This window comes from Homo sapiens, chromosome 2 (assembly GCF_000001405.40).
Source record: "Homo sapiens chromosome 2, GRCh38.p14 Primary Assembly".
In the NCBI taxonomy this organism is placed as follows: domain Eukaryota; kingdom Metazoa; phylum Chordata; class Mammalia; order Primates; family Hominidae; genus Homo; species Homo sapiens.
In genome coordinates this window covers 10010001-10027328 of record NC_000002.12, presented here as the reverse complement: position 1 = coordinate 10027328, position 17328 = coordinate 10010001, and the positions used below count along the sequence as shown (strand labels likewise).

At 55.7% G+C, this 17328-nt stretch overlaps 3 annotated features.

The window, feature by feature from the left end:
* Window positions 11337-12027: an enhancer, noted in NCBI's record as "H3K27ac-H3K4me1 hESC enhancer chr2:10155429-10156119 (GRCh37/hg19 assembly coordinates)". NCBI's record gives its function as "activates a minimal SCP1, AML or CMV promoter by ChIP-STARR-seq in primed H9 embryonic stem cells {active_cell/tissue: H9 hESC(primed)}" and the evidence as "EXISTENCE:reporter gene assay evidence [ECO:0000049][PMID:30033119]".
* Window positions 13862-14799: an enhancer, noted in NCBI's record as "H3K27ac hESC enhancer chr2:10152657-10153594 (GRCh37/hg19 assembly coordinates)". NCBI's record gives its function as "activates a minimal SCP1, AML or CMV promoter by ChIP-STARR-seq in naive H9 embryonic stem cells {active_cell/tissue: H9 hESC(naive)}" and the evidence as "EXISTENCE:reporter gene assay evidence [ECO:0000049][PMID:30033119]".
* Window positions 14800-15738: an enhancer, noted in NCBI's record as "H3K27ac hESC enhancer chr2:10151718-10152656 (GRCh37/hg19 assembly coordinates)". NCBI's record gives its function as "activates a minimal SCP1, AML or CMV promoter by ChIP-STARR-seq in naive H9 embryonic stem cells {active_cell/tissue: H9 hESC(naive)}" and the evidence as "EXISTENCE:reporter gene assay evidence [ECO:0000049][PMID:30033119]".

Sequence of the window (17328 nt, the reverse complement as noted above, 5' to 3'; positions counted from 1 at the left end):
ACCTAATGGCTCGCCTGAGCCCCTGGATACGGCCAGGTCTGAAATCCGCAGCGGACTCCCTCATTGGGCTTGGAGGCTTCTCTGTGGCCTTCCCCAAAGGCAGCATCAGGTAGGTGACAATGAGGGTGGCTCATGGGCTCATGGGGGTGTTAGAGGAACCCCTGCTTACCAGGCCCCTGGTTTAATAAAACATGACTAGAGTGACTCCATCTTGAAGTGAGTAGCTAGGCACTCACAAGAATATTCAAGGTCTGAAAATAGCCACATTCTAAGCCGACCACCAATTAAAACAACAAAAATATCATCTGCCACCACGCCTGCAGAATGCCCACATGTCTGGAGAATACAGCCCTCTTTCCTTCAAGATAACATCGATGAGCAAGCTTAGGTTGAAGGATTAATGGTCATCAATAACACCAATAGCCCCGCCTCTAGTGAGCACATCTGCACATTCCAAGTTTCATTACCACTCCTTAGAGTTTCTTTTTCTTTTTGAGACAGATTTTCACTCTTGTCGCCCAGGCTGGAGTGCAGTGGTGCAATCTTGGCTCACCACAACCTCCACCTCCTGGGTTCAGGTGATTCTCCCGCCTCAGCCTCACGAGTAGCTGGGATTACAGGCACGCGCCACAATGCCCGGCTAATTTTTTTTTTTTTTTTTTTTTTTTTTTAGTAGAGAGGGGGTTTCACCGTGTTGGTCAGGCTGGTCTTCAACTCCTGACCTCAGGTGATCCGCCCGCCTCAGCCTCCCAAAGTGTTGGGATTACAGGCGTGAACCACCGCGCCCGGCCTCCTTAGAGTTTCTTATAAGCAGCGACACCAACACAGGACAGTGCACTCCTCCTCCTTCTTCCCGAGGATGCCCCACTCTGTAACAGAGTCGTTTCCAGTAAACTCGCTTCTTTCACTGTGCTCTGTGATTTGCCTTGAATTCTTTCCTATGCAAGATCCAAGAATCCTCTCGTGGGGTCTGGATCGGGAATCTCTTTTCCGGCAACAGGAGCACCCCCCTGGGAAACCATAAGCACATCTTGGGAAAGGCTATGGTTCCCACTGGGAAAGGGAGTGGAGGCTGGCACCATCCTTTCAGCTATCATGCTTAGAAAACCAGCTTTACGAAGATACAACTTATGCTCAAGAGGCTACATTCAATTAGAGTGGACAATTCAATGAGTGTTGACAGCTGTCCACACCTGTGACACTGCCACCATATTCATGGCCCAGAACACTTTCCTTTTTCTTTTTTTTTTTTTGAGACGGGGTCTTGCTCTGTCGCCCAGGCTGGAGTGCAGTAGTGCAATCTCGGCTCACTGCAAGCTCCGCCTCCTGGGTTCACGCCATTCTCCTGCCTCAGCCTCCCGAGTAGCTGGGACTACAGGCGCCCACCACCATGCCTGACTAATTTTGTTTTTGTATTTTTAGTAGAGACGGGGTTTCACCGTGTTAGCCAGGATTGATTCGATCTCCTGACCTTGTGATCCACCCGCTCGGCCTCCCAAAGTGCTGGGATTACAGGCGTGAGCCACTGCGCCCGACGTGGCCCAGAACATTTTCATCCTGTTTCTTGTGCCCCTTTGCAGTGAATTCTCCCCTGGAATTACTGACAACCACAAATCTGCTCTTTTGTCATTATAGAAGCTCATAGAAATGGAATTATACAATTTGTACTCTTCTGTGTCTGTTTATTCTTTTTCTGGGGGGGGGGGGGGCGGCGTTGCCCAGCATCATGTTTTTGAGATGAATCCATGTTGATGGATGTACCAGTAATTCTGTCTTTCTTGTTTTATGTTTATGTGGTTTTGCTGAATAGTACTGTAGGGATGTACCACAGTTGTTTTTTTGTTTTTTGGGTTTTCTTTTAATCAGGGTCTTGCTCTGTCACCCAGGCTTGATTGCAGTGGCATACAACGTCCAGGCTCAAGCGATCCTCCCACCTCAGCCTCTCAAGTAGCTGGGACTACAGGTGCATGCCACCATGCCCGGCTAATTTTTGTGTGTGCATAGAGATGGGGTCTCACTATGTTGTCAGGGCTGGTCTCAAACTCCTGGGCTCAAGCAATCCTCCTGCCTTGGCCTCCCAATGTGCTGGGGTTACAGGCGTCACCCACTGCGCCCAGTGCATTCACTCTAGGGCTGTTTTGTTAAACCAGGGGCCTGGTAAGCAGGGGCTCCTCTAACACTCCCATGGGCCCATGAGCCACCCTCATTGTTACCTGCCTGATGCTGCGTTTGTTTATCCATTCATCTGTTTGTGCACACTTGGGTTGCTTCCAGTTTTTGATGTTTAGGAATAAAGCTGCCATGAAGATTCACATTCAAGTTTTTGTGTGGACATGTGCTTTCATTTCTCTTGGGTAAAACGTAGGCGCGGAATTGCTGGGCCATTCTTAATTTTAGAAGAAGCCACCACAGTGTTGTTTCACAGCAGCTCCACCATCTTGCACTCCCGATGGCGGCGTGCAAGAGCCTCGGCTGCCCCACTCCTCCCCAGCACATGACGTTGCTGCACCAGGGTGTCATTTTCACTGTCCTAGGGGGGCCGAAGTGGCTTATGATTGTGGGTTTCATTTGTATTTGCCTGATGACTAATGAAGTGCGATGATTTTCGCATGCTGTTTTGGCCTTCTGTATGCAGTATCTTCCTCTGTGAAGTGTCTGATGGATTCTTTTGCCAATTTGTTTTTGTTGGGTTGTTCATCGGGATCATGTTTTTAATGGCAAACGTCAAAGCCAGCCCATATGTGTTCCCATGACACCCCTGTCATGTTTATGCGTGCACTCAAGCGCACGTGCGTGCACCCACATACCAATTCTCTTTTTTTTTTTTTGTTTTTTTCGAGACGGAGTCTCGCTCTGTCACCCAGTCTAGAGTGCAGTGGCTCATTCTCAGCTCACTGCAACCTCCGCCTCCCGGGTTCAAGGGATTCTCCTGCCTCAGCCTCTGAATAGCTGAGATTACAGCCATGCACCATCACGTCCGACTAATTTTTTATTTGTAGTAGAGACAGGGTTTCACCACATTGGCCAGACTGGTCTCGAACTCCTGACCTCAAGTGATCTGCCCACCTCGGCCTCCCAAAGTGCTAGGATTATAGCTGTGAGCCACTGCATCCAGCCCAATTCTCTTTAATAATGTAAAGTCGGAGGACAACAGGACACTGACTTTCATTTCACCTGCGTTTCAACTGTCCCATGAAAGCTCCGTGCCTGGGTGGCATTTACAGTGCTTTCACCTGCCTCATCGCATTAATCCAAACATCAGTGCTGTGAAGGGTGAGATGGCAAATGAGGAAACTGAGGCCCAAGGGGAAGAAGTGACTTGCTAAAGGCTACACAGCTTGAGAGGCAGATTGGACTTGAACCCAGGTTTGTCCGACTCTGAATCCAGTGCCGTTTGTTCACTGCCCAACAGCAGCCTGGGAACAGAACTACAATAAAATATACGTTTAAGAATAGAGCAACAGCAGCAGCAGCCCCACACTGTGACTACACTGAGTGCCTGGCTCTGAGGTCCTCACCCAGACCCTGTGTCTCGATACCCAGGGACAGAGCCGGGCCTGGAAGAGTCCTCCCTTTCACGGTGGGGGACCCTGGGACCAGGCAACCAAGGTCACAAAGTCTGTAGAAGCCCGAGTGTCTAAGCCTTAGAACCCCGATCCCAATGAGACCTTTGCTGGGGTCTCACCATCAGGGCTCTTGAAATTCAAAGCCACACCCTCTCAGCATCCGCCGAGATGTTAGGATGGAAAGAGGTACCCCTTGCTGCCACTTCACCCCTATGTCCCATCTATCTGCCCCAAAACCAGCCAGTTGGTGTCCCCATAACTCTGCTGCAGGACCACTCCAGCCTTCCCGAGCCTTCTGCCCTTCCTCCCGGGCCACAGCCCACAGGCCCCAGGAGCTGGTTTTGGGGGCACACGCTCTTCCAGCTCCCAGCATCTCCCCTCTCCTCCCCAAGTCTCAAGCCTCCCTGCCCCAACTCAGGATGGAGGTCCTGGACCCACAGCCAGGGAGAGCCAGGTGGGGCAGCCTGCACAGGAGGTCCGGGCACTTTCTGACTCTGGGCTCCAGAAGCCAAGGCCTCCCTCAAGGAAACAGAAAGGACTGGGGGCACAGTTCACATGATCATGAAGATAAGGGTTCCCGCAGCACACCCCATAAGAACCGTGGCACTGGCCTTTACACCCTGAGGTCCTACTTCACCCCTGGAGCCACGGCTGAGGGCAGGGCGCTGAGGGGCTGTGCCTGGGGACTTGTGCTGCTGAGACCTCCACTGGTGACACAGGGGCTCAGCACCCCTGGTGAAGCAAGCAGGGTCCCAGCAGAGAAAGGAACCTGCAGGATAGGGGTGTGGTGTGTGTGGTGTGTGTGTATGTGTGTGTGCACATGTTTACACGTGGATATGCATGTACGTGTGTTGTATAGCCAATTCCTTGCAATAAATCTCTCTATGAGACACATAAGAGATATTACATATACATGGAGGGGATGAGACAGAGAAAGGAAGGGAGGGAGGGAGAGATTTATTGTGAAAAATTGGCTCAGACAAGGTGGGGGCTGGCTGAGCAAGGTGGAAATCCATAGGGCAGGCGGCACCTGGGCCTCTCGGGCAGTAGGCGATGCTATAGTCCACAGGTAAAATCTCTCTGTCCTCAGGGAAACCCCAGCTCTGCTCTCAAGGCATTTCACTGGTTGCACAAGGCTTCCCACCCCTACCCCCGCCACATGATTGAGAGTAATGGCCTTTCACTCCAGTCAGCTGACTGCAGATGTGACATACTTACAGAACACCTTCACAGTAACCCCTAGATGACTATTTGGTTGACCCAAGAAACTATCATGCTTAGGGGCTGAGAGCTGCTGAAGTCCTGGCAGGGAGGGGTGAGGACCGGTGCTGCCGCCCTGGTGACCGGCGTTTCCAGGAGCCACCAGCCTCACCCACCATTTCCCGAGTTGGTCCCTCATCCCCTTGGCTTCCTGCGGCGGCCGAGGTGGGGTCCGGGGCTGCTGAGGTAGGGTCCAGGGCTGCTTGCTGAGCAGGGCTACCTGGTCCCCAGGGCTTCACCTGGAAGGCCTCCCACTAAGGCCCAGGACTGAGGCATCCTCAGGGCCCGTTCCACCGCCTCTGATGGAGCCTGGGGCTGAGCTGATGGGTGCTCGGACTCTACCCGACACTGCTCTTGTGCAGTGGCCGTCAGGGCTACCTGGACACAGCCTGGCTGCTGCCTCCACAGACCGCTCATGCCCAGACACGAGGGAGAGCCGCCTGTAGGTCTTCAGCTGCGAGCTCTGCCTCCAGCACTTCAACGGAAGGGAATGGGCCCAGGGAATAGGACGTGGGCTTGGCGCATGACTTGAAGTGCTTTCCACCCTACCAGATGCCCTGAAGATAAGAGCCGGCCCAGAACTCCGTGTCTCCGTGACAAAATGCTTCTGATCACCTAATCTGAGCGGCTGATCTCAAGTCTCTGCAGGGTTGTCACGTGTCAGGGGAGGAGAATCCAGGTGTGCTGGATCCAGCTCGCCCGCTCCTGGACAGATGGTGCACATTTCTTCTCAATCTCGTGTTCAGCCATGTCATGTTGGTAGCTTGAAATCAGCCATGATGAGAATATTTACACCACAGATGTTGACGAACACTTCACATGAGCTCCCCTCAATCCCCTGCGAGAGCTGCTTGTTAAACATTTACCTGCACACCACAGGAGAAGCCCCAGAGGATAAAGCTGGGATGGGGAGGAGGGAGGTTGGGGAGGAGGGAGGTTCAGGTATCTATTTTTTTTTTTTTTTTTTGAGACAGAGTCTCGCTCTGTCCCCAGGCTGGACTGCAGTGGCACGATCTCGGCTCACTACAAGCTCTGCCTCCTGGGTTCACACCATTTTCCTGCCTCAGCCTCACAAGTAGCTGGGACTACAGGCGTCCGCCACCACGCCCAGCTAATTTTCTGTCTTTTTAGTAGAGACGGGGTTAGCCAGGATGGTCTTGATCTTCTGACCTCATGATCCACCTGCCTTGGCCTCCCAAAGTGCTGGGATTACAGGTGTGAGCCACCGCACCCAGCCGGGTTCAGGTATCCATTACTAAGTAACAGCCCACCTCAAAACTTAGTGGCTTAGCCGGGTGCAGTGGCTCACGCCTATAATCCCAGCACTTTGGGAAGCTGAGGCGGGTGGATGGCCTGAGGTCAGGAGTTCGAGACTAGCCTGGCCAACATGGTGAAACTCCATCTCTACCAAAAATACAAAAATTAGCCAGGCTTGTGGTGGTGGGTGCCTGTAATCCCAGCTACCTGGGAGGCTGAGGCAGAAGAATGGTTTGAACCCAGGAGGCGGAGGTTGCAGTGAGCCGAGATCGCGCCACTGCACTCCAGCCTGGGTGACAGAGCGAGACTCTGTCTCAAAAAAAAAAAAACTTAGTGGCTTAAGATGACGGTGATTGATTCCTCCTCACGAGTGTGCGTGTCACTGGGGTGGTTCTGCTGCTGCATGTGGTATTGAGGAAGGTCACTCTTGCAGCTGCGTGCATGGCTTTTCCCTCCAGTAGGATGGCCTGAGCTCTCCACAGCGTGGCAGCTTCCCAGAGACCAGGAAGCTGCCAGGCCTCCCCCACATTCTATCCGCCAAATGGGTCTCAAGGCCTGTCCAGATCTGGTGTGGGAGGGAACTACAGAAGATCATCAATAGCAGGGGATTCACTGGGGCCCATCAAGGCAGCAGTCTTCCAGCTGGGTGGGCTGGCTCATCCCTGGAATCCCAGGATTTAAGGAGGCCAAGGTTGGAGGACCACTCGAGGCCAGGAGTTTGAGACCAGCCTGGCAACATAGCGATGACAGCCTGTCTCTACAAAAAATTAAAAAATTAGCCAAGCATGGTGGGGCATGCCTGCAGTCCCAGCTACTCAGGAGGTGGGAGGATTGCTTGAGCCCAGGAGGTTGGGGCTGTAGTGAGCTATGATTGCACCGCTGCACTCCAGCTTGAGTGACAGAGTGAGACCCTGTCCCCCAACACCCCCGCCCCCCCAAAAAATAGGCCCCGCAGTGTGGCCTGGTGAACTTGGCCTCCTTGAATGTGTCCTATATAAAGGTGTGTGTTGAGCTTCCCCTTGGGGCAAGGCACAAGCCCCTCGCCCACCCACGTGGTCTAACTGGACGCTCACAGCAGCCTCGAGAGGCGGTCCTGCCCGTCCCGGTTTCCAGGTGGAGCAGCTGAGGAAAGCCTGAGACGCTTGCCCCAGGTCTCCCGGGTTCTCAGCGGCCACCCGTTGTCCTGGGAGGTTGAGAATTCCTGTTCTAGGTGCCCCTTTGCTGGGACACAGCATCTCTAAAGGGGGAGACAGCCATCTTGAGGTCCTCCCTGTATTATGAGAAGAGGAAGCTCTCGCTGAAGAAAGGGAAGGCAGATCCTTCCTCCCCCAAGTCCACATCGTTTTCCTTCCTCTTAGGAGGTCTGCCTCTAGCTCTTATCTCCCCACTCCCCACGTGCACAGAGTCGCAGGGTGAGGGCTGAGCTGTGACGCCAGTGAGGCCAAGATGTCAGCCTAGGGTTGAGGACCCTGGCTGGGCGGGTCCTGCTGGGAGCTGAGGCTGCAAGACCCCGGCTTGGCCGTACCCCGAGAAGCAGCCACTGCACTGACATGGACGAACTGTGCCGTGTGGAACCCACTTGCCCCACCTAGATCTCAGCTTCCCTGCCGCCAAGCGAGAAAACAGAACTGACAGGTCTCTGATGGCCATCTCATCTCCATGCCAGGTGTTCTAGAAAGAGTTCAGAGACCCAAGTGTCCATCCACACTTGTCCACGTCTTGGTTCCAGGAGTGTCTGTCAGGGATGTTCCCCCTGACCCTGGATATTCCTTCTCCTCTGTGAAAGTACGGTCACGTATGGTGCAAGTATGGGCATGTGTGATGCAAGGGACGCTGCTGGGCAGCTGCCTGTGCAGGCACCGGGGACAGGAAGGTGGATAGGGCATAATTTGTGGGGGAAAAGGCATGTAAACATGTATTACAACATAAGAGAGTACGTGTAGCGGGAATGTAAATTTGTACAACCTTCTAGAAAAGTCATTTGGCAATACAGATCAGGAACTTCCCAGATGTTCCCAAATATCTTCGGAAACAATTATCCCATTTCTGGGAATCTAACTTAAGAGAGTAACCAGAACAAGGGAGAACAAGATGCTTATTGCAGGATTAGTTAGAACTTGAAAATAACCTAAATGCCCAACAACAGAGAATCAGTTAATTGGATTATGTCACAGACAGTTAATATTTCACAGCTGTTAAAAATAGCTGCTACAAAGAATTTTCATAAAATGGTTTTTGAAATAACATTAACTGAAAAATGCAAAACAGAATTGAGGAGATGGAGCTCCACTTGGGAAAAAATAAGATAATTCAGAGAGAAGGAATTTACCAGAATACCAACAGCGATCACATTTGGGTAATAAATGACTTTAGAGGTGATTTTAAAATTATTTTGTTTCTCAATCATCTTTAAAAGCCCAGTGCAAAGAAATTTGCTGGCCAGGCACAGTGGCTCATGCCTGTAATCCCAGCACTTTGGGAGGTTGAGGCGGGCAGATCATCTGAGGTCAGGAGTTTGAGACCAGCCTGGCCAACATGGTAAAACCCTGTCTCTACCAAAAATACAAAAATTAGTCAGGTGTGATGGCATGTGTCTTTAGTCCCAACTACTTGGGAGGCTAAGGCAGGAGACTTGCTTGAACCCGGGAGGTGGAGGTTGCAGTGAGCCAAGATCACACCACTGCACTCCAGCCTGAGTGACAGAGTGAGACTGTCTCAAAAAAATTTTTCCTTCATGAAGTCTTTTACAGTTCCTCTAGGCAGAAGTGATCTGTCACTCTTTGATGCCTGGGACATTTGTGCCTCTCTTGTGGCATCTACCCTCTGTGCTGTGCTCATATGTCTGTGTCTTCACCCAGCTGAACCCCTTAGTGATATGGCTGTGCACATGTTTGGGTCCTAGTGTTTAACTCCAGGCCTGCCCACACTGTGCACCTATTGGCCATCTAGATGTGCACTTGGGTTCTGGCTGGCTCCTATACCCGTGGTTCTCTTTTACTTTTGAAGACTCCTTTTAATGTTAATATTTTTTCGTGGTAGCTATACCATCTATCAGTGGAAAATACTCAATGACAAAAGACACCTTGTCTTTGTCCCATGAATTCAACAGGGCTTCTTTTTTTGAGAAGGAGAGTCACTCTGTCACCCAGGCTGGAGTGCAGTGGCGCAATCTCAGCTCACTGCAACCTCCGCCTCCCTGGTTCAAACGATTCTCGTGCCTCAGCCTCCCGAGTAGCTGGGATTATAGGCACACACCACCATGCCCGGGTGATTTTTGTATTTTTAGTAGAGATGGGGTATTACCATGTTGGCCAGGCTGTTCTTGAACTCCTAACATCAGGTGATCCACCCACCTCGGTCTCCCAAAGTGCTGGGATTACAAGGGTGAACCACCATGCCCGGCTTCAACAGGGTTTCTTATGGGCTAGTTTTTCTCCAGTTACGACTCAAATTTTCTTGCTTTATTACATGTCTAATAATTTTTGATTGGATGCTGGACATTATGATACAACATTGTTGGGAATCTGAATTTTGTTGTTTTCTTTCAAAGATTAGTGAATTTTGTTTTGGCAATGAGTTAAATTATTGGTAGATGTTTTGCTCCTCAAGGCTTGTTTGTGGGCTCGTTGGGACAGGTCTAGAGCAGCCGTTACCCCAGGGTTAGTGTAGTACACCTGAGGCATGTGCTTTTCAAAAGGACAGAGATCAGGGCAGTGGTTACCAGGGGCTGGAGTGGAGGGAGGAAAGGATGACCAAAGGGCACAGAGAACATTGGGCAGTAGAAATGTTTTCTATCTTGATTGTGGTGGTGATTACATGACTGTATGCATGTGTCATAGAGTTGTACACCTAAAAATGGAGAATTTCACTGTATGTAAATGATACCTGAATAAATCTAACTTTTTTAAAAAAGGGTGGTTTTTCTGAGGTCTTGGCTGAATGTCTGGCATATTCGGTGTGGTCTCTTCACTCTGGCTGCCCAGAACTCCAAGGTCTCTGTGCCCGTGCATCCTCTGGCACCCCCTTCTGCTCCCAGCTCCCAGCAGCTCTCCTCTGCCAGACTTTGCCGTCTCATCCTGTGCACGTGCAGTTTAGTATTCACTCAAAGACTCAAGAGAGCTCCTCTGCAAACGTCTGAAGCTCCTTCCCTGCTCAACCCGCTCCTCTCTGGAACCCCACAAGTTCCAGTCCCCTCGGTGGTCCTGAACTCCAGTCTCTGCCTGCTCCGGCCCATGCCATCACCACTCTCTGAGCTCTACTTCCCTGTGCTGTGTTCAGAAAATGCCCCAAACACCTCCGGGCAGAGAGCCAGGGTGAAGCTGGAACTCCCTCATGTGTGTCCTTCTCTAGGGTCACAGCCCTGCCATGGCACCTATGCTTAAAAACAGTTGCTTCATATAATTTGTCTAGTTTTCTAGTTGTTTATGGGGGAAAGGTAAGTCTGCTATCTGTCACCGTCTTATGGCCGGACCCAGCAGTCCCAGCAGAGCTGTGGGAATTTAAAGTTGGTTTCACTCCTCCCACCTCATCTCCATAAGCTCTATGCTCAAGCGGCTCGAGCGATCCCCAGAGTAGCCATCCCATGCTTGGAGTGCCTGCTCTGGACTCTGTGCGCCCCTGACTCCTAGAACATTGACACCCACCCTCCCTCCTCCTACTCACCCTGCAGCTTCCACTTGGACTCCAGGAAGTCTTCCCTGGCCCTTATGCTGGGCCCAGGAGGGTCTGTGTGTGCCCGTAGCTCCCAGGCATCCCCGTAACCACTTATCGGTTGTGTCTTCCCGGAGCCCAAGGACTCTGAGTATGGGGCGGAGACCCTGCCCCTGCTACATCCTATTCCTTCGCCTTGGGCCTGGAGCACGTCCACGAACACGTGTTGAACACAGAGTAAAGTAGCACCTGTGCACACATGTACACCCATATACACACCTGTCCACCTGACCCGCCCATATGCACATCCATACACACGCCTACCCACCTGACCTGCCCATATGCACGCCGGTCCACCTGACTCGCCCGTACACACAGTGGTCCACCTGACTCACCCATACACACGCCTGTCCACCTGACTGCCCATACGCACGTCTGCCCACCTGACTCGCCCAAACGCACAGCCATACGCACGCCTGTCCACCTGACTCACCCATACGCACACCTGTCCACCTGACTCACCCATACGCACGCCTGCCCACCTGACCCACCCATACGCACGTCTGCCCACCTGACTCACCCATACGCACGTCTGTCCACCTGACCCACCCATACGCATGCCTGTCCACCTGACTCGCCCATATGCACACCCATACACACGCCTGCCCACCTGACTCACCCATAGGCACGCCTGCCCACCTGTCTCGCCCATACGCACACCCATAGGCATGCCTGCCCACCTGACCCGCCCATACGCACGCCTGCCCACCTGACCCGCCCATACACACGCCTGCCCACCTGACCCGCCCACACACACGCCTGTCCACGTGACACGCTGACACGCACGCCTGTCCACGTGAGCCGCCCATACGCACGCCTGTCCACCTGAATCACCCATATGCACACCCATATGCACGTCTGCCCACCTGACTCGCCCATACGCACACTCATACGCACACCTGTCCACCTGACCCACCCATATGCACGCCTGCCCACCTGACCCGCCCATACGCATGCCTGCTCACCTGACCCGCTCATACGCACGCCTGTCCACCTGACTCACCCATACCCAATCCTGTCCACCTGACCCACCCATATGCACGCCTGCCCACCTGACCCGCCCATACGCACGCCTGCCCACCTGACCCGCCCATACGCACGCCTGTCCACCTGACTCACTCGTACGCACGCCTGCCCACCTGACCCGCCCATACGCACGCCTGTCCACCTGACCCGCCCATAAGCAATCCTGTCCACCTGACTCGCCCATACGCACGCCTGCCCACCTGACCCGCCCGTACGCAATCCTGTCCACCAGACCCGCCCATAAGCACGCCTGCCCACATGACCCGACCATACGCACGCCTGCCCACCTGACCCCCCCATATTCAATCCTGTCCACCTGACCTGCCCATACACATGCCTGCCCACCTGACCCGATCATACGCAATCCTGTCCACCTGACTCGCCCATACGCACACCCATACGCACACCTGCCCATCTGACTCGTCCATACACATGCCTGTCCACCTAACTCGCCCATACGCACGCCTGCCCACCTGACTCACCCATACACACACCCATACACACGCCTGTCCACCTGACTCATCCATACGCAATCCTGTCCACCTGACTCACCCATACACACACCCATACGCACGCCTGTCCACCTGACTCGCCCATATGCACACCCATACGCACGCCTGTCCACCTGACCTGACCATAGGAACACCTGCCCACCTGACCTGACCATACGAACGCCTGCCCACCTGACCCGCCCATACAAACACCTGCACACCTGACCTGCCCGTATGCACGCCTGCCCACCTGACCTGCCCGTACGCATGCCTGCCCACCTGACCCGACCATAAGAAAGCCTGCCCACCTGACCCGCCCGTATGCATGCCTGCCCACCTGACTCGCCCACACGCACGCCTGCCCACCTGACTCGCCCATACGCACACCCATATGCACTCCTGCCCACCTGACTCACCCATACGCACGCCTGCCCACCTGACTCGCTCATACGCATGCCTGCCCACCTGACTCACCCATACGCACACCCATATGCACTCCTGCCCACCTGACTCACCCATACGCACGCCTGCCCGCCTGACTCGCTCATACGCATGCCTGCCCACCTGACTCACCCATACACACACCCATATGCACGCCTGCCCACCTGACTCGCCCGTACGCACACCCATATGCACGCCTGTCCACCTGACTCACCCATACGCACACCTGTCCACCTAACTCTCCCATACGCACGCCTGCCCACCTGACTCGTCCATACGCACACCCATACACATGCCTGTCCACCTGACCCGACCATAAGAACACCTGCCCACCTGACCGGCCCACACAAACGCCTGCCCACCTGACCCGCCCGTATGCACGCCTGCCCACCTGACTCACCCATATGCACACCCATACGCACGCCTGTCCACCTGACTCGCTCATATGCATGCCTGTCCACCTGACTCTCCCATACGCATGCCTGTCCACCTGACTCGCTCATATGCACGCCTGTCCACCTGACTCTCCCATACGCAATCCTGTCCACCTGACTCGCTCATACGCACGCCTGTCCACCTGACTTGCCCATAAGCAATCCTGTCCACCTGACTCGCTCATACGCAGGGCTGTCCACCTGACTCTCCCATACGCAATCCTGTCCACCTGACTCACTCATACGCACGCCTGTCCACCTGACTTGCCCATACGCAATCCTGTCCACCTGACTCGCTCATACGCAGGGCTGTCCACCTGACTCTCCCATACGCATGCCTGCCCACCTGACTTGCCCATACGCACGCGTGTCCACCTGACTCGCCCATACACATGCCTGTCCACCTGACTCTCCCATACGCACGCCTGTCCACCTGACTCGTCCATACGCACACCCATACACATGCCTGTCCACCTGACCCGACCATATGCACGTCTGCCCACCTGACCCGACCATAAGAACACCTGCCCACCTGACCCACCCATACAAACGCCTGCCCACCTGACCCGCCTGTAGGATGCCTGCCCACCTGACTCGTCCATACGCACACCCATACACACGCCTGTCCACCTAAACCGACCATATGCACGCCTGCCCACCTGACCCGACCATAAGAACTCCTGCCCACCTGACCCGCCCATACAAACGCCTGCCCACCTGACCCGCCCGTATGCACGCCTGTCCACCTGACCCGCCCGTATGCACGCCTGCCCACCTGACCCGCCCATACACATACCCATATGCACGCCTGTCCACCTGACCTGCCTATACACACGCCTGTCCACCTGACCCGCCCATACGCATGTCTGCCCACCTGACTCGCTCATACGCATGCCTGCCCACCTGATCCGGCTATACGCAATCCTGTCCACCTGACTCTCCCATAGGCACACCCATACGCACACCTGTCCACCTGACTAGCCCATAAGCAATCCTGTTCACCTGACTCTCCCACACACATGCCTGTCCATCTTACTCACCCATACGTGCGCCTGTCCACCTGACCCGCCCATATGCACCCCTGCCCACCTGACCCGCCCAAACGCACGCCTGCCCACGTGACCCGGCCATACGCATGTCTGCGCACCTGACCCGCCCATATTCAATCCTGTCCACCTGACTCTCCCACATGCACACCTGCCCACCTGACCTGCCCATAAGCACGCCTGCCCACATGACCCGACCATACGCACGCCTGCCCACCTGACCCCCCCATATTCAGTCCTGTCCACCTGACCTGCCCATACACACGCCTGCCCACCTGACCCGACCATACGCAATCCTGTCCACCTGACTCGCCCATACGCACGCCTGTCCACCTGATCCGCCCATACGCAATCCTGTCCACCTGACTCACCCATACGCACGTCTGCCCACCTGACTCACCCATACGCACGTCTGTCCACCTGACCCGCCCATACACATGCCTGTCCACCTGACCCGCCCATACGCATGCCTGTCCACCTGACTCGCCCATATGCACACCCATACACACGCCTGCCCACCTGACTCACCCATAGGCACGCCTGCCCACCTGACTCGCCCATACGCACACCCATAGGCATGCCTGCCCACCTGACCCGCCCATATGCACGCCTGCCCACCTGACCCGCCCATACACACGCCTGCCCACCTGACCCGCCCACACACACGCCTGTCCACGTGACACGCTGACACGCACGCCTGTCCACGTGAGCCACCCATACCCACGCGTGTCCACCTGAATCACCCATATGCACACTCATATGCACGTCTGCCCACCTGACTCGCCCATACGCACACTCATACGCACACCTGTCCACCTGACCCACCCATATGCACGCCTGCCCACCTGACCCGCCCATACGCACGCCTGCCCACCTGACCCGCTCATACGCACGCCTGCCCACCTGACCCGCCCATACGCACGCCTGTCCACCTGACTCGCTCGTACGCACGCCTGCCCACCTGACCCGCCCATACGCATGCCTGTCCACCTGACCCGCTCGTACGCACGCCTGCCCACCTGACTCGCCCATACGCACGCCTGTCCACCTGACCCGCCCATAAGCAATCCTGTCCACCTGACTCACCCATACGCATGCCTGCCCACCTGACCCGACCATAGGCACGCCTGCCCACCTGACCCGCCCGTACGCAATCCTGTCCACCTGACCCGCCCGTACGCAATCCTGTCCACCTGACCCGCCAGTACGCACGCCTGCTCACCTGACCCGCCCGTACGCAATCCTGTCCACCTGACCGGCCCGTACTCAATCCTGTCCACCTGACTCTCCCACACACATGCCTGCCCACCTGACCCGCCTGTACGCACGCCTGTCCACCTGACCCGCCTGTACGCACGCCTGTCCACCTGACCCGCCTGTACGCATGCCTGTCCACCTGACCCGCCTGTACGCGATCCTGTCCATCTGACCTGCCCGTATGCACGCCAATACTGTCCACCTGACCCGCCCGTACGCGATCCTGTCCATCTGACCCGCCCGTACGCACGCCAATACTGTCCACCTGACCCGCCCGTACACACGCCTGTCCACCTGACCCGCCCGTATGCATGTCTGCCCACCTGACTCGCTCATACACACACCTGCCCACCTGACCCGACCATAAGAACGCCTGCCCACCTGACCGGCCCATACAAATGCCTGCCCACCTGGCCCGCCCGTACGCACGCCTGCCCACCTGACCCACCCATATGCACGCCTGCCCACCTGACTCACCCATACGCACACCCATAGGCACGCCTGTCCACCTGACTTGCTCATACGCAGGCCTGTCCACCTGACTCTCCCATATGCATGCCTGTCCACCTGACTCGCTCATACGCACGCCTGTCCACCTGACTCTCCCATACGCACGCCTGTCCACCTGACTCTCCCATACGCACGCCTGTCCACCTGACTCGTCCATACGCACACCCATACACATGCCTGTCCACCTGACCCGACCATATGCACGCCTGCCCACCTGACCCGACCATAAGAACGCCTGCCCACCTGACCCGCCCATACAAACGCCTGCCCACCTGACCCGCCTGTACGCACGCCTGCCCAGCTGACTCGTCCATACGCACACCCATACGCACGCCTGTCCACCTGACTCTCCCATACGCAATCCTGTCCACCTGACTTGCCCATACGCACGCCTGTCCACCTGACTCGCCCATACGCACGCCTGTCCACCTGACTCTCCCATACGCACGCCTGTCCACCTGACTCGTCCATACGCACACCCATACTCAAGCCTGTCCACCTAAACCGACCATACACACGTCTGCCCACCTGACCCGCCCATACAAACGCCTGCCCACCTGACCCGCCCGTATGCACGCCTGTCCAGACTCGCCCACACCCACGCCTGCCCACCTGACTCGCCCACATGCACGCCTGCCCACCTCACTTGCCTGCCCACCTCACTCGCCCATACGCACGCCTGGCCACCTGACCTGCCCATACACATGCCTGTCCACCTGACCCGCCCATACGCACGCCTGCCCACCTGACTCGCCCATATGCACGCCTGCCCACCTGACTCATGCAGTTTGAGATGGTGCCCCGCATGGATATAGATTCCCAGGTACTTGGCAGAGCTTCACAGCCTGGCGTACTCAGGCCTCTAGAGTAAGTGGCCACCAGAGTAAGTGGGTCCTTGAACCTCAGCCCTCATGACGAATGACATTCAGGGAAAGCTGGGAGCACCGGCATGGTGTGGGGCTGGGGTTTCTGAGGCCTGCAGGCCTTGGGCACGACGAAGGCTCTGGTCCCACACCTGGCCCTGCTCAGGGGCACAAGGCCCCATGCCTGCTCTCCAGTGTGGCCCGTTAAACCCAGAGCAAGAAGAGGGAACGGGGTGGGAGTCTGCCAGCGACATGTGACTCATGTAAACTTCAGGGGCCTGGAATGATCTGGAGGCCAGAGCTGGAAGTAGGGGAAAGGTCGCAGCGTCGCGCCAGCTGTGGGGCTGTGGCCAAGGCCAGTGGGAGAAAGGTGGCCGGTGGCCAGCCGGGCCAGACACCCATAGGCCAGCCCTGGCCTGGCCGCCAGCCACCTGGGCCAGCTACACAGACCTGCGGACAGGCCTGGC